The sequence below is a fragment of the Homo sapiens genome, chromosome 17 (assembly GCF_000001405.40).
Source record: "Homo sapiens chromosome 17, GRCh38.p14 Primary Assembly".
Taxonomy (NCBI): Eukaryota; Metazoa; Chordata; class Mammalia; order Primates; family Hominidae; genus Homo; species Homo sapiens.
In genome coordinates this window covers 42,515,507-42,532,610 of record NC_000017.11, presented here as the reverse complement: position 1 = coordinate 42,532,610, position 17,104 = coordinate 42,515,507, and the positions used below count along the sequence as shown (strand labels likewise).

At 51.7% G+C, this 17,104-nt stretch overlaps 1 protein-coding gene across 37 annotated transcripts in view, besides 3 other annotated features; it reads right to left on the bottom strand.

Annotated features, from left to right (window-relative positions):
• Positions 332–481: a silencer, noted in NCBI's record as "silent region_8532". NCBI's record gives its function as "represses an Ori minimal core promoter by ATAC-STARR-seq in GM12878 lymphoblastoid cells {active_cell/tissue: GM12878}" and the evidence as "EXISTENCE:reporter gene assay evidence [ECO:0000049][PMID:35858748]".
• The window catches only part of ATP6V0A1 (ATPase H+ transporting V0 subunit a1), a 63,702-nt gene continuing 56,629 nt past the window's right edge, over positions 10,032–17,104 (bottom strand). For 32 of the 37 annotated variants that reach the window (NM_001378531.1, NM_001378532.1, NM_001378534.1 and 29 more), the window contains one exon: positions 10,032–11,584. In NM_001378531.1, the coding sequence (NP_001365460.1) occupies positions 11,491–11,584 (94 nt within the window). In that variant the 3' untranslated portion in view covers positions 10,032–11,490. Of the gene's footprint in view, positions 11,585–11,987; positions 13,120–13,848; positions 15,840–17,104 lie in introns of those variants that run through there. The other 5 variants (XR_007065303.1, XR_007065304.1, XR_007065306.1 and 2 more) reach the window with 1 other exon arrangement.
• Positions 15,012–15,061: a silencer, noted in NCBI's record as "silent region_8531". NCBI's record gives its function as "represses an Ori minimal core promoter by ATAC-STARR-seq in GM12878 lymphoblastoid cells {active_cell/tissue: GM12878}" and the evidence as "EXISTENCE:reporter gene assay evidence [ECO:0000049][PMID:35858748]".
• Positions 15,505–16,004: an enhancer, noted in NCBI's record as "H3K4me1 hESC enhancer chr17:40668625-40669124 (GRCh37/hg19 assembly coordinates)". NCBI's record gives its function as "activates a minimal SCP1, AML or CMV promoter by ChIP-STARR-seq in primed H9 embryonic stem cells {active_cell/tissue: H9 hESC(primed)}" and the evidence as "EXISTENCE:reporter gene assay evidence [ECO:0000049][PMID:30033119]".

Below are 17,104 nucleotides of genomic sequence, written 5' to 3'. Positions count from 1 at the left end.
CGTGAACCCAGGAAGCGGAGGTTGCAGTGAGCTGAGATCGCGCCACTGCACTCCAGCCTGGGCGACAGAGCGAGACGCCGTCTCAAAATAAATAAATAAATAAATAAATAAATAAATAAATAAATAAATAAATAGCCAACTATTTCTGAGGCCAGTCTCGGTGTCCAGAAGTCTTCAAGGCAATGTTAATTATGGCACATAGAACCTCCAAGCTCACTTGTCAGCGAAAACGCTGTGCTCAGCCTGGCAGAAATCTGCTCTCACATTCAGAATCGCCATAAATGTGCAACGTATATTCCAACGAAAAACGCTGGCGAGCTGGGGACTGGGCATTGAAGTCCGGCGGCGGCGGGAGCGAGGAGGTGCCTCTCTCCTCAGTCACCTGGGCGGCGGCGGCGGCGGCGGCTGCGGTAGCGGTGGCGGCGGCTGCGACGACTCCCCCCGAGCCTCGGCGCGCGACGCCCGGCCCGGCGGCGGCGGCGCCTCTCCACCGATCCGTTTTGCTGCTGCTGCGGCCGCCGCTGCATTTCCTGCTGCCGCCGCTGTCCTGTGGCGTCGCCTCGCGCCGTGCCTGGCCGCCGCTGCCGCTCCCTCGAACTCTTGACCTTAAGTGATCCATCTACCTCAGCCTTCCAAAGTGCTGGGATTACTTCTAAATTCTCCAGACAAGTTTTGCCTCCAGATGGCCTGTTTGATGGTCAACATGTGGTCTTTGCTCCTTAGATTGCTCCTTATCTAAATTGCTCAGATAAGAACTTTTTGTCTCCGGGGCCCGTTCGCTCTCTCACCTTTCTTAGGGTCTAGATTGGGACCCCTTTCCAGTAACAATTTTACAGATTGGGAAACAGAGCCAGAGACAGGAAATGACTTCGGCAAGATCAATAACTAGTAAGGAAAGCAGCTCTGGGCTAGAACCGGGAACTCTTAACTTCCAGAGCAGGGTTCTTGCTGCTCTTCCCCAGGCAGTGCAACTTGTCAGGCTGCCTATCTGATCAGGGAGGGCTTGAGTAAGGCTGCTCCGGGGCTGGGAGTGGCCCACTCTCCAGAAGGACTGCACTAGGTGTGCTAGATGTGGTGGCTCACACCCGTAGTCACAGCACTTAGGGAGGCCGAGGCAGGTGGAGCGCTTAAGTCCAGGAGTTCGAGACCAGCCTGGGTAACATGGAGAAACCCTGTCTCTACAAAAATCATCTGGGCACAGTGGCCTGTGTTTGTGGTCCCAGCTAGCTCCTCAGGAGGCTGAGACAGGAGGACGGCTTGAACCCAGGGGTTTGAGGCTGCAGTGAGCCATGACCACACCACTGCACTCCAGGCCAGGCAACAGAGTAAGACCCTGACTCAAAAAAAAAAATGTCTAGCCCATTGCAGTGGCCCCTGATCCTAAGAGGTTGAGGCAGGCAGATCACTTGAATCTAGGAGTCCAAGACCAGCCTGGGCAACAAGGCAAAACCCCTCCTTCTCTACAAAAAATACAAAGATTAGCCCAGCATGATGGCATGTGCCTGTGGTCCCAGCTACTGAGGAGGTTGAGAGGGTAGGCTCGCTTGAGTCTGGGAGGTCAAGGCTGCAGTGAGTCCAGATGGCACCACAGCACTCCAGGCCAGGGACTGAGCAAGGTAACACATTATCATCTGTTTATTTAAGGCTCTGTAAACAGTGGTTGTGGGAGGGAGGGGGAGATTCAGGGACACTGTGAGTGAAAGACTTTTATAATAGGGTCTTTAGTACTGTTTGATCCTTTTTTTTTTTTTTTTGAGATGAGTCTCGCTCTGTTGCCCAGGCTGGAGTGCAGTGGTGCCATCTCCTGTCTCAGCATCCCAACTAGCTGGGACTACTGGCATGTCTTGGGGTGGGGGGAGGGGTCTCAAAAAAGAAAGAACTTACTGACAACAGTATAGGTTTGGAAAAGGAAAGTTTATTAGAAAGGAAGAACACTGCAGCAGAGTGCAGCAGGTGCCTCCACGGGAGGACTGAGTGCGCTGTGGTGGATTTTCCTTAGGAGCATGTATGGACCTTAAGGTGAGAGCTTAGGGTTGTAAAATGAGCTTCAGCATGGCATAGAATGTACAGAAATTTTACGTTGTGAGGGCAGAGCCCTCAGGAATGGGGTTGGTGCCTTTGTAAGGGAGGCCAGAGAGAAAGCCCTACCCCTTTCTACCATGTGAAACCACAGTGAGAAGGCATAGCTCATAAAGCAGGAAGTGAGCCCCCACCAGACACTGAATCTATAAGCACCTTGATCTTGGACTTCCTAGCCTCCAGAAGTGTGAGAAATAAGTGTTTGTTGAATTTTTTTTTTTTTTTAAAAAGAATGTATAGACATTTTAGTTACTTATAAAAGTTGAAAGAGGCTTGGAATCAGATGCCGACTTTAAATACTAGGGAAGTTTTTTTTGTTTGTTTTTTCTTTTGAGACAGAGTCTCCCTCTGTCGCCCAAGCTGGAGTGCAGTGGCCTGATCTCAGCTCACTGCAACCTCTGCCTGCTGGTTCAACCAATTCTCCTGTCTTAGTCTCCTGAGTAGCTGGGATTACAGGCATGCACCATCATGCCCGGCTAATTTTTGCAGGGAGGGTGTTTCATCATGTTGGCCAGGCTGGTCTCTAACTGTTGACCTCAAGTGATCCACCTGCCTTGGCTCCCAAAGTGCTCACAAAGTGTGTGTGATTCACCATGCCTGGCCTTTATTACTTCTAAATTCCCCAGGCAAGGAGTTTCGCCTCCAGATGGCCTGTTTGATGGTCAACAGGTGGTCTTTGCTCCTTGGATTGCTCCTTTTTTTTTTTTTTTTTGAGACGGAGTCTTGCTCTATCACCCAGGCTGGAGTGCAGTGGTTCGATCTCTGCTCACTGCAAGCTCCGCCTCCCGGGTTCATGCCATTCTCCTGCCTCAGCCTCCCGAGTAGCTGGGACTACAGGTGCCCCGCCACCACGCCCAGCTAATTTTTTGTATTTTTAGTAGAGACGAGGTTTCACCATGTTAGCCAGGATGGTCTCGATCTCCTAACCTCGTGATCCACCCGCCTCGGCCTCCCAAAGTGCTGGGATTACAGGTGTGAGCCACTGCGCCTGGCGGATTGCTCCTTATCTAAATTGCTCAGATAAGAACTTTTTGTCTTGGGGGGGGTGATTTTTGCTCTCCTCACCTTTCTTTGGGTCTAGATTGGGACCCCTTTCCAGTAACAATTTTACAGATTGGGAAACAGAGCCAGAGACAGGAAGTGAGTTGGGCAAGATCAATAACTAGTAAGGAAAGCAGCTCTGGGCTAGAATCGGGAACTCCTGACTCCCAGAGCAGGGTTCTTGCTGCTCTTCCCCAGGAAATGCAACTTGTCAGGCTGCCTATCTGATCGGGGAGGGCTTAAGTAAGGTTGCTCCGGGGCTGGGAGTGGCCCAGTCTCTAGAAGGACTGCACTAGGTGTGCTAGATGTGGTGGCTCACACCTGTAGTCACAGCACTTAGGGAGGCTGAGGCAGGTGGAACACTTGAGTCCAGGAGTTTGAGACCAGCCTGGGTAACATGGAAAAACCCTGTCTCTACAAAAATCATCTGGGCACAGAGGCCTGTGTTTGTGGTCCCAGCTAGCTCCTCAGTAGGCTGAGGTGGGAGGATGGCTTGAGCCCAGGGGTTTGAGGCTGCAGTGAGCCATGATCACACCACTGCACTCCAAGCCAGGCAACTGTTGGGAACAAGCCCCGCAAAATCTGGCCATAAACCGGCCCCAAAACTGGCCATAAACAAAATCTCTGCAGCACTGTGACATGTTCATGATGAACATAACGCCCACGCTGGAAGGCTGTCAGTTTACCAGAATGAGGGCAAGGAACACGTGGCCTGCCCAGGGTGGAAAACTGCTTAAAGGCATTCTTAAGCCATAAACAATAGCATGAACGATCTGTGCCTTAAGGACATGCTCCTGCTGCAGTTAACTAGCCCAACCTATTCCTTTAATTGCCCATCTCTTCGTTTCCCACAAAGGATACTTTTAGTTAATTTAATATCTGTAGAAACAATGCTAATGACTGGCTTGCTGTTAATAAATATGTGGGTAAATCTCTGTTCAGGGATCTCAGCTCTGAAGGCTGTGAGACCCCTGATTTCCCACTTCACACCTCTATATTTCTGTATGTGTGTCTTTAATTCCTCTAGCGCCGCTGGGTTAGGGTCTCTCTGACCCAGCTGGTCTCGGCAGCAACAAAGCAAGACCCTGACTTAAAAAAAAAAAAAAGTCTAGCCCGTTGCGGTGGCCCCTGATCCTAGGAGGTTGAGGCAGGCGGATCACTTGAATCTAGGAGTCCGAGACCAGCCTAGGCAACATGGCAAAACCCCTTCTCTACAAAAAATACAAAGATTAGCCCGGCATGGTGGCATGCACCTGTGGTCTCGGCTACTAGGGAGGTTGAGAGGGGAGGATCGCTTGAGCCTGGGAGGTCGAGGCTGCAGTGAGTCCAGATGGCACCACAGCACTGCAGGCCAGGCCACAGAGTGACAGAGCAAGATAACACATTATCATCTGTTTGTTTGCTTTTTTTTTAAGGCTCTGTAAACAGTGGTTGTGGGAGGGAGGGGGAGAGTCACACTGTGAGTGAAAGCCTTTATTTATTTATTTATTTATTTATTTGATAATAGGGCCTTTAGTACTGTTTGATCGCCTTTTTTTTTTTTTTTTTGAGATGGAGTCTGGCTCTGTCCCCCATGGCTGGAGTGCAGTGGTGCCATCTCCTGTCTCAGCCTCCAGACTAGCTGGGACTACTGTCATGCATTGGCTGGCTAATTTTTGTATTTTTAGTAGAGACGGGGTTTTGCCTGGCTAATTTTTGTATTTTTAGTAGAGACGGGGTTTCGCCAGGCTGGTCTTGAACTCCTGACCTCAGGTGATCCACCCGCCTTGGCCTCCCAAAGTGCTAGTATTGCAGGCATGAGCCACTGCGCCCAGCCTGAGTTGTGACACAACTCATTACTTTTCCAGTAGTGTGTGTGAAGCAAGTTGGCTGGGCTCTCTGCGTGCTCTCCAGCCCATCTCATCTTTTGCTCCTGGCTAGCCTACCCCTCTGCTTATGTGCTCCAGAATACCCCAGGATTGCTTTGTCTCTGCCCGTCTAATCCAGTTGCCTGCCTATCACACAGCCCAGCTCAGATCGCAGCCCACCTTGCCAAAGGATGAATGAGTCCTTCCCTATCTGGCCACCAGAGAGCAGCCTACACCTAGGACATGCCTTGGGTAGGCTGAGACGTTGAAGAGGCAGGCCACTTTGATCTGAAATGCTGAGGCTGCCAGCTGGCTTTGAGGTCCAATGCCCCCTCTACCCAAGGTTCCTGGGGCAGAAAGAAGTATAGTCCCATCCAGTGAAGGTGGTGATAGACTTGTCCCCTATCTCTACAAAGCTTGGGACTCCCCAGGCCAAGCATGCCAAGGCCACCCTCTCCCACACTGGTTCTAGGACCTCAAGATGAGGGGCATTTCCTGGACCAGGGCACAGACTCATCAGACAGATGTCTGGGGTCCTGGGGTTCCACAAGAGGGGGATCAGGGTAAAGGCACATCTCTTAAAAACAGGAGCAGCCGGGCGCGGTGGCTCATGCCTGCAATCCCAGCACTTTGGGAGGCCAAGGCGGGCGGATCACGAGGTCAGGAGATTGAGACCATCCTGGCTAACACGGTGAAACCCCGTCTCTACTAAAAATACAAAAAATTAGCCAGGCATGGTGGCGGGCGCCTGTAGTCCCAGCTACTCAGGAGGCTGAGGCAGGAGAATGGCGTGAACCCGGGAGGCGGAGCTTGCAGTGAGCTGATATTGCGCCACTGCACTCCAGACTGGGTGTCAGAGCGAGACTCTGTCTCAAAAAAACAAAAAACAAAAAACAGACAAACAACAACAAAAAAAAAACAGAAGCAAATGGCCAGGCACAGTGGCTCACGCCTGTAATCCCAGCACTTGGGAGGCCAAGGTGGGTGGATCACTTGAGGTCAGGAGTTACAGACCAGCCTGGCCAACATGGCGAAATCTCATCTCTACTAAAAATACAAGAAATTAGCCAGGCGTGGTGGCAGGCGCCTGTAGTCCCAGCAACTTGGGAGGCTGAGGCAAGAGAATCGCTTGAACCCCGGAAGGCAGAGGTTGCAGTGAGCCAAGGTCGCACCGTTGGACTCCAGCCTGGGCAACAAGAGCAAAACTCCGTCTCAAACAAAACAAAACCAAGCAAAACAAAACAAAAACAAAGAAAAAAACCCCCAGGAACAAGTGGATGCAGCCATCCTGTTCCCCACCCCCTACCACAGGGCTCTGGGACTTCCTGCACACTCCACAGCTCAGTCTTGGTCAGCCCATCTTTAGCTGGAAGGAGCCCAAGGCCACTAGATTCTGAGAACTCAGTCTAGCCAAGGACTCACTGGCCCTGCTTCCTCCCAGTTCATCAGAGAGACATGGGAGGAATTTCTTCCCAAGGAAGTCCTAGGCCACTCCCACTTTATTCAGATTATATGCCATAAAATTTACTAATGTAAGGCTGGGCGCGGTGGCCCACGCCTGTAATCCCAGCACTTTGGAAGGCCAAGGCGGGCAGATCACGTGAGGTCAGGAGTTCGAGACCAGCCTGGCCAACATGGCCAAACCCCGTCTCTACTAAAAATACAAAAATTAGGGTGTGGTGCCCCATGCCAATAATCCCAACTACTCAGGAGGCTGAGGCAGGAGAATCGCTTGAACCCGGGAGGCAGAGGTTGCAGTGAGTGAAGATCGTGCCATTGCACTCCAGCCTGGGCAACAAGAGTGAAACTCCATCTCAGGAAAAAAAAAAATTAGCCAGGTGTGGTGGTGCGTGCCTGTAATCCTGGCTACTCAGGAGGCTGAGGTGGGAGAATCCTTTGAACTTGGGAGGCAGAGGTTGCAGTGAGCCAAGATTGTGCCACTGTACTCCAGCCTGGGCAACAGAGCAAGACTCCATCTCAAAAAAAAATTTACCAATGTAAAGTGTACAATTCAATGGGTTTTAGTATATTCACATAATTGTGCAGCCATCAGCAGCCTAACTTTACATTTTCATCATTCAAAAAGAAACTCCATACTCCTTGGGAGTCACTCCCCATCATAACTCTCTCCCCAGCCCCATCTGGCAGCCAGCTCCTGGTATCCACCAAATCTGTGTCTATGGGTTTGTCTATTCTAGACATTCCAGATACACGGAATCATAAATTGTTGGTCTTCTGTGGCTGGTTTTTGAGGTCCATTCATGTTGTAGCATGCATCAGTACCTCATTCTTGTTAATTGTAGAATAATATTCATCATGCCCATCCCACCTTTTATGGATCCATTTATCAGCTGGTGGACATCGGGCTGTTTCCATTTTGGGGCTATTATGAATAATACTTCCATGAACATTTCTGTGCAAGTTTTTGTGGGTATGATTTCATTTTTCTTGGGGTAGATAAGAAAGTGGAATTGCTGGGTCTTACGTTAATTCTGTTTAATATTTTTTTTTGAGACAGAGTCTCACTCTGTCATCCAGGCTGGAGTGCAGTGGTGCGATCTCAGCTCACTGCAACCTCTGCCGCCCGGGTTCAAGAGATTCTCCCGCCTCAGCCTCCTGAGTAGCTGGGATTACAGGCACCTGCCACTGCGCCTGGCTAATTTTTGTATTTTTAGTAGAGACGGAGTTTCATCATCTTGGCCAGGCTGGCCTTGATCTCCTGACCTCATGATCCACCCACCTCGGCTTCCCAAAGTGCTCGGATTACAGGCATGAGCCACTGTGCCCAGCCAATTCTGTTTAATATGTTGAGGAACTGCCAGACTGCTTTCCAAAGCAGCTGCACCATTTTACATTCCCACCAGCAGTGAATTGGGTTCCAATTTCTCCTTGCCAACACTTGTAATTTTCTCATTTTTTTTGAGATGGAGTCTTGCTCTGTTGCCCAGGCTGGAGTGCAGTGGCGCAATCTCGGCTCACTGCAAGCTCCGCCTCCCAGGTTCACGCCATTCTCCTGCCTCAGCCTCCCGAGTAGCTGGGACTATAGGCACCCGCCACCATGGCCGGCTAATTTTTTGTATTTTTGGTAGAGACGGGGTTTCACCGTGTTAGCCAGGATGGTCTCGATCTCCTGACCTCGTGATCCACCCGCCTCGGCCTCCCAAAGTGCTAGGATTACAGGCATGAGCCACCGCGCCCGGCCCAACACTTGTAATTTTCTTATTGCCTTTTTAGTGGGTGTGATGTGGTATCTCATTGTGGTTTTCATTTGCATTTCTGTAATGACTAATGGTGTTGAGCATCTTTTCATGGGTTTATTGGCCATTCATATTGCTTACTTGGAGAAATGCCTATTCAACCCCTTTGCCCATTTAAAAAAACTGAGTTGTTTTTATTATTGGGTGTAAGAGTTACTTATATATCCTAGATACAAGTCCTTTATCAGATATATGATCTACAAATATTTTCTTCTATGAGGGTTGTCTTTTCAGTTTCTAGATTCTGATCTTTGAAGCACAAACCCTTTTTTTTTCTTTTGAGATGGAGTTTCACTCGTCGCCCAGGCTGGAGTACAGTGGCACGACCTCGGTTCACTGCAACCTCTGCCTCCCGGGTTCAAGCGATTCTCCTGCCTCAGCCTCCCAAGTTGCTGGGATTACAGGCATGCGCCACCACACTCAGCTAATTGTTTGTATTTTTAGTAGAGACGGGGTTTCTCCATGTTGGCCAGGCTGGTCTTGAACTCCTGACCTCAGGTGATCCGCCTGCCTCGGCCTCCCAAAGTGCTGGGATTACAGGTGTGAGCCACCGTGCCCGGCGAAGCACAAAAGCTTTTAATTTTGCTGAAGGCTAACTTATCTATGTGTTTTTTTTTATTTTTTATCACTTGTGCTTTGAGTGTCATATCTAGAAATCACTGGCTAACTCAAGGTTAGGAAGATGTACTCCTATGGTTTCCCCTAAGAGTTTTATCGTTTTCACTTACATTTTAGGTCTGGAATCCACTTTGAGGTAATTTTTGCATATGGTGGGGATAGTGGCCCAAATTTGTTTCTTTGCATGTGGAAACCCCATTGTACCAGTGTCATTTGTTGAAAAAGAGAGATCTTTCCTCATTGAATTATCTTGACCCCTTTATCAAAAATCAAGTGACCATAAATGTTAGGATTTATTCCTGGACTCTCAATTCGAATCCAATGATTCCAAATATCTATTCTTATGAGGCCTTCCCTTCCCACTGAGCAGAAGCTGAGACCTCAATGACCAGAGTTTCCACTCGGGACCTTATCTTTGAGGAGCTGGGTGGGGTGGGCCTCTCAGGGCCGACACCAGGGACAGGTAGCACTGTTAGGGAGGAGGAAGGGCTTTAGGTTAGGCTGGAACATGGAATGAACAGGGGGTTGTGGCCCCTTCACCTGTCTGGGGCCCAGGTCACATTCCTGGGCAGCCCCTGCCCTGGAGGCCCCTGGAGGGAGGAGTGAAGAGGGAGGGTACCGAGAATGCAGTGCCTCACTAGGCAGTGGGGAGGGGGCCTCCTGCCCAGCCTGCCACCCTGGACGGTCTGCCTGCTCTCCACCCTGCCGCCTGCCAATCCCAGCACCTCACATTCCCCAGCTGCCCTGAGGAACCTGTGTGGAGCCTCCACTTACACTAAGGCCGGGGTATCAGGGCTCAACATAGCCAGGCCACTGGGCCCTGGAGGGCACACTTGGAGAAGAGGGAGAGGCGCGTGGGGAGATACCCAGTGCCCCTCTGCCCCCATGCTGTCTGGATGTGCAATGAGTAAACGGGAGACGAAGATGGGCTGCCCAGTCCCCTCTTCCCACAGGTAGTGTCTGCAGAGCTGACTTGGATCCTGTGAGTGGGAAGGCGCCTGGGAAACTTGGGACAAGGTGAGAATTTCCCAAACCAACTGCCCAGCCAGGCCTACTGAAGCTGTGGCCTTTGATAGAAGGAAAAGCAGCAATGCTGGAGGAGGGAGGCGAAGGTCAGGGGTCCACAGGGGCTCAAGATGGCTGAGCCTGGAGCGACGCAGGGGCTGTGGGCACAGTGACAGGCAGCTTCTCCGGGGAAGTCAAACATACTTTATTCAACATAGGAATGTCTGAACAGGAGGACCTTGGGCAGGGTTCCCTGAACTCTGCTTCAAACCCCACTGGAAACAGAGCAAAGATCATCACGAAAACCCAGGACACCAGGGCAGGGGGGCTGCACAAGGTCGGGTCAGGTCACAGTGGGCCAGCACACAGTGGCCCCGCCCAGGGCCAGCCCAGCCTGGGAGAGGGGATGAGGGCTCCAGGCAGCTCACTCAGAAAAGCCAGGGTAGGAGGAGGGCACCAGCCTGGCCCACTCAGGGAATTCTTTCTACCACTGAAAGCGGTGGGGATTAACTTAGCCAGGGCTGCCACGCCAGCACACGATTACAAGGTTCGGGGTGACAAGGAGGAAGCCCCTTGGCAGGACTGTGCAGCCCTCACAGCCACATGCACGGCAGCCCTGCCAATGGCTTCCAAACAGCAAACCATCAGTGACACTGACCTTCCCTGCCCAGGACACCCCTCCTGAGACCTGGGGCCAGTGTGGTGAGGAGGGGGCACTAGGGGCGGAGCCAGGCAGGCTGCAGGCAGAACCAAGAGGACCCCAGTCCCACACTGAAGACATCATGATTGGGGGTGGGGAAGATCTCAGGGTCTCCATCAGGGAAGAGCATCAGTCTGCACCCTCGGCCTGAGGGTGTGCTTGTGGGCAGGGCCCATGCAAGGCCTGGGAAGAAGCCAACCCCGAGAGAGGGAAGCCCTGTGCACTGCGGAGCAGCCAAGGCCTCTGTTCCAAGCATCCCGGCTGTGCTATGTAGTGCAGGGCATGAACGGGGAGAGAGGAAAGGATGGGAGTGCAGGGTGGGGTCAGAAAGGCGGTGTAGATATCCTATGACCCCTGGGGATGACAGGGAGAAGCCACTCATGATGGCCTAGTTGGGTCCAGCTGAATGCCAGGGGGGTGGGCAAAAGACGCAAATATCATCTTCCTGGACCCACCCCTGCTAATCCAAGAGTGGGACATGTTACCAGTGTCCCCTTCTAGGGAAGAATCTGTATTACTCCCCCCACTACTCCTGCTAGAAACTACGGTGGCAGATGCAGGGAACTCAAAGTCTAGATGTGAATGGCATGGGTGCTCCTTCCATCTACAATGCACGGGGAAGATGAAAGGGCTTTGGGATGGCGTGGGAATGCAGACTGGCTCACCACCAGGAGGTGGGAAGGGCTGTCTGGATGGATGGAGGCTAAGAGGGCAAGGCTGGTGCCCAGTGAGTATGAGTGACAGCCAGAAAATCACTACACTACACACAAAGCTAGGGGTGGTGGGAGACCCAAGGAGGACTATTCTATCTAAATGACTCACAGACAGGGTGACACGAATGAGCTGGTGCCCACAGATCACAACCAACAGGCAGAGAGGCACAGCTGATCACTGTGGAGGGAGGCGGGGAGGGTAGCATGGGGCACACGGCCCTCACAGGGACTCACTCTTCAAACTTCCCTTCCCGAATATGCTCGAAGGAGAAGGGTAAGAACTTGAAACCGGTCCCGCTGTAGAATTTATTCTGGAACTCAACCCTGGAGAAAGAGAAGAAGAAAGCTGTCATTCAATAGAAACTTTGTGAAGCTTTTTAGGACTTCACAGTTGGGCAGGAAAGATGCCCCGTGCCCACCTCACCCCGAGCCTCCCTTCCCTGGGGAAGCTAGAGAAAGCCCAGAGTGCAGAGATCCCACTTTTAAGGCCTGGGATCAAGAGTTCGACGCACGGAGGAAGGGATTTGCCCTCAGTTCCCAATCTTGCTCTGTCCTGCCGAGCAGTGTGTTTATGCACAACTCTCTGCAGAGAGGCATGTGCAAAAAAAGTTCAGTTACCTTGAGCCTAACATCGTTAATGAACAAGTGGCCCCCATCGCCCCCTCCTGGCAGGGGATCACACAGCCCACCTCTAAGGGAAGCCCCTCCAGAGACACTGGGCAAGCACCTCTGTTTGCTTGTTATTTTTCCTTGGGGGAGCAAAAGGGCGAGCTTGGAGTGAATGTTGAAGGCTTTCCATTTAAGGAAGGAAATTCCAAGGAAAGAGGGGGAGTTAGGAGGGGAAGTCTTCTCAAAGCAATGGCAAAAATATTCTCCAACCACAAAAACATCTGAGAAAGAATTCTTCTCTTGGGGACTAAAAAGAAAAAGCCTGAGCTCCCTTCCCAGCAGTTCAGCATCCATGCCTGATGGTCTCTGTGGGGCCCTTTCACTCTCAGGGAGGGTGGGAGGAAGACTGTCCCATAAGCAGAGCGAGGCTGCTTGGCTGTGCTTCCTCCTGCAAACTCACCCTGGACAGCTGCCCAGCAACCAAACCACACCAAATAAGGGCAGAAAAATGCATGATTCAGGGGATAAAAAGGCCAAGGAGAGCTGCCCTGAGGAATAGTTTCCACATGGTGCTGTGTGACCCTGGAGGCACCGGAGCCCCTATAAGAACAGGCAGGCGTGGGGGCTGGGGCAGGCTCCAGGTGACAGGTCACGTGCAGGGTGAGGGCTTTGAGGCGCTTTAAAGCTTCAGGAACCCTCTAGTTCCCTAACTCAGCTTTTACAAATGGAGATTCCTCCCTCCAAGCCAAGAAGGCAGGAATTAAGAGAACAGGGGCTGGGAGGTGGCTGGGGCCCAAAGGTTACAGACTGTTTGCCAGTGGCACTGGGAGTTCCTCAGAGGCCCCTTCACTGGGGTGCAGGCTGAGGAGCACCCCCTTGAAGAAGAGCGCAACCGAATTTTCTGAGTGGGAGTAAAAGCAGTCAGCTTTCTTCCCCACATCCCCACATTCCACAGGGGTGGGCCAAGGTCCTCCAGGAAAAACAGGACTCAGGAGGGGGAGGACACAGAGCTTCCAACTGACGTTAGCTGACGGTTCCCACCAGAGCAATTCCAAACCAGGACCTGGATTCACCCACGTCCCAACACCCCACCAAAACTACTTCTCCAAGTTCCAGCTACTGAGACCACCTCTGAGGGAACGCGGTGGGGCCTAGCAGTGGGTTCCTGCTTCTCACCCACTTGTGTTAGGTTTGAATTCTTCATGTTGAATAGACTGTGTTCCCATGTGGCAAGGGTTATTTCAGAACAGCTGAAACGAGATTTACATGTCCCCTTTTCATTCAACAATACATAGCCAGAGAGTGGACAAGTCACCTGAGGGTCCCAGGCCATTACCTAGGAGTGAATGTCAGCCTTGGTAGGGTATGCTGACCCCCGACTCCAGTGAGGTGTCCAGAACTCTGACCCCCACCCCCTCCTGGCTAATCACAAAACCATTCTAATCTTCAAACTGGGCAAATGGAGCAGCAGCTTTGTTTTCAGATGCCTGTGGGGGCACCGCCCTTTTCTTGGCACCCCTCCAGTCACCTTATCTACCCATGGGGGCCCAGCAAGGAGGAAGAGGGATATATGCCTGGGAGGGGCACATCAATTGTACTGTGTGAGCAGACAGGTGGCCTCCCTGACATACTGCCCAATACTGCCCCTCCCACCAGCTGCTGCTTTAGAGACTTAGAGCGGCCAGAACTGGGACATCTTGGGTCTATCTTGAGGTCAGCCTGATTTCACCTCCTTCCGTGGCCACCCTCACCCCAACCACCCAGCACAAAGCTGGAAAGCAATTTCCCTGCTAGTCTCCCCACTCTCTCCCGCTGAACTGGGGAAATGTGTGCTTCCTGAGAAAGTACAAACATGAAGTTCCCCAGGGCAAGGGGGGCCCCATCTGCCATCCTAGGTTCTTCCTTCTTTTTGGGCATCTCCACTGCTCTGCTCAGGGAGCCTCCAAAGTCTTGCCATGCCCCAAGACACTGAAATGCACCTCTAGAATTCAACAGCTGTGAGGAGAGCCTCAGGACGCCAGATGAGTGTCTCTATCATCTCTTCCAGCTCCAGCACTTGGCAAAGGCCACCTGGTGACTCAGAGGGATTAACTGGGGCCAAAAGACATCATTCATGCCACGTAACAGGAACTCTGTTTCCTCGAGTGGGTGAAGGAGGAAGGAGTCTTGGGGCCGCTTCCCTTCCCTGGTGGGGGTTGTGACTGAGGGCAGGCAGTCTGGAAAGACAATTCTGGGCTGAGCTGTTTATGTAGCCTGTTCTGCCACTCTCTGTGCCGTTCAGGGCCTACAACACACATCTGTCTGACGGCCTGAATATCAGGGCAATGATGGCAGCCTGGAACTACATTTCAAGAGTTCTGAGTTCTCCTGGGCAGCCATTCCCTCAACTGCTCCATGCTGTCATGCCGTGGCAACACTGCATTCCTAACAAGAAGCTGGTCCCCGATTCTGTCCCTTTAATCACCACCCAATCTGTGAGTGTACAGGTAGGTGTACATCTATGTGTATGTGGAATTCGCTAGGTAAGGAGAGACCAGGTTCCTTGGAAGGTATGCCCTGGGGCAATAGTTCTGCATAAAAATCAGTTTGATGTTTACAGTGATAACTACAATCAAATCCCTGTCTCATGCCTTCTCTGAGGAAGAAAAGATGTCTAATTATGGTAGGTAAGAAGCCAAGCACACTTCATGTGGCAGGAGGGAGGAAAAGAGAGAAAACTCAGGAGACAGAATTAGCAGATTAATACATTAGCCTGCTCACTGTTTTCAAACACATCACCCCCCTTCCTATGATGCTGCATGAATCTCACACTAGTGGTTTATATGTTATCGAATCAAATGTTTTTCTTATTGTCCCCACTGAGGAGACCAGAACTTGTATAATGGGGCAGCCCTTGAATCAGGAAACAGCAGGGATAAAGTGGGAGGTATGAAGATGCCTAGGATGGATGCCAGGAAGAACAGCAGCACCATCCCTACAGCTGGTTCAGCAGCCCCAGAGGCTCCACCCCTGGTAAGAGGGCCACAGCTCAGAACGCCTCCTGCAGTCCTGGGCCACAGGGAAGATCCAGGCATCCTGGACGCACAGCCGCATTTTGCCAGGAGGGGGCGCACAAGCACCAATTTCATTCACTTCTGTTTTAGTGGTGGGGGAGGCGCCCCACTCGTGTCACGGGAACAGCCCTCCAAAGACGAGATTCTGGAAGTTGCACAAAGGAGGTTTGCACTGTTTTTTCCTCTCCTACCCAATACTCCTATTGCCAAAATAAATACGACATATATGGGGAGGCTGTTCCTTGCAAACAGCACCTGAGGGCATTCTGATGGTATCCTCTGCCTCCTCTGGGGTCTTCTCTCACTCTAGACAGGCTAAAAGCAGTCTTTTTATGGGGGACCCCAGGCAGACACCCTCTCTCTAGGGCATCCCAGGTTTTTTTGTTGTTGTTGTTGTTGTTGTTGTTTTGAGACGGAGTCTCGGTCTGTCGCCCAGGTTGCAGTGCAGTGGCGCGATCTTGGCTCACTGCAACCTCCATCTCCTGGGTTCAAGCGATTCTCTTGCCTCAGCCTCCCGAGTAGCTGGGATTACAGGCGCCCACCATCACGCCCAGCTAATGTTTGCATTTTTAGTAGAGATGGGGTTTCACCATGTTGTCCAGGCTGGTCTCGAACTCCTGACCTCAGGTGATCTGCCTGCCTCAGCCTCCCAGAATGCTGGGATTATAGGTGTGAGCCATCGCACCCAGTAAGGGCATCCCACTTTTAAGCAGAGCAGCCACTACCCATCCTAGAGCACCTGCTTTTGCTGTGGCAGCACTTGGTGTGTGCATTACTTCCTACTTGCTCACAGTAATCTTGGCAGTGAATGTTCTGCTCAGGTTCCCTGCCTGGTGTGACAGTGCTGGAATTCCAACCCAGGTCGCCCAATTCCGGAGCCTGCTGTCCTGCCACTCATCACTTCAGTTCAGGGGGACCTGGGAAGACACGGGGAGGCCACAGGTGAGCCTGAGGAGGAAGCAATCTTCTGGCAACAAAATGAGGCTCAAGCCCAGGCGGCCTTGCTCTGCAACAGTGCCTTGCTCCCGCCCTGCCCAGGGAGATGACCGGCTACCCACGTGGGCTGGAATCAAGGTGAGGTGGTCACTGTTCCCTCAAACCCAGGGCTCAAGAGACAGGAGTGAAAAGAAAAGAAAGGAGGCCAAGGGGCAAGAAAAAGTGAGTCCTCAGAGGTTCTCGTGCACTGAGGAGGGCTGAGGAAGTGTGCTTGCGGGGGTCGGCTGATAAGCTTAGAACAGGGAGGCCAGCCAGATGAGCTGGGTGGGGAGGAGGGAGGCCAGGAGGGAGAGAGCCAGGCCAGAGGAAGCCAGGTCTACTGACGCAGCAGGGCTTTTGAAGAAGAGTGCACCCTAGCCACGTCTTGCCCTTCCATGCCTCACTCTCCGCCCATCATTCAGAAAAACCCACAGCTGAATCTTTGAGGAGGCTCAGGGGTCACCCAGCCATGAGAATAATCAAAGATAAAGGGGAGTGGGGAATGAGTTTCTCAGGTTCAGATGCTGGATTTTCTTCAGGTTTTGAGAACGAAGAGAGACATTCATAGTCCTCTTCTGGCCTTGAGATCATGAACACCACAGAGCATCCCATCCAGGGGCCTCTAAGGCACACCAGTGAGTCAGACCCCTATGCTTGTAAAACAGGAGAAGTGTGTGAGTGCTCCTCTGGGGAGAGGGGCCAGAACTTCCAGAGACATTGGGGTTTTGAGACCCCCAAAAAGAGAATCACAACATAAAGGAGAAAATAGAGACCCAAAGAAGTGGAGTCTGAGGTGGAACAGCCACAGAAAATACAGACTGCCCCAGTTTTTAGTATAAGCATATCCCATGCACATTTGGGAAATACTCATACTAAAAAAATTATTTGTTGTTTATGTGAAATACACCCTGTATTTTTATTTTTTGAGACCGAGTTTCACTCTTGTTGCCCAGGCTGGAGTACAATGGCGCGATCTTGGCTCAATGCAACCTCCACTTCCTGGGTTCAAGCGATTCTCCTGCCTCAGCCTCCCAAGTAGCTGAGATTCCAGGCATGCACCACCATGCCCGGCTAATGTTTTTGTATTTTTAGTAGAGACAGCGTTTCTCCATGTTGGTCAGGCTGGTCTCGAACTCCCCACCTCAGGTGATCCACCCGCCTCGGCCTCCCAAAGTGCTGGGATTACAGGAGTGAACCACCGTGCCTG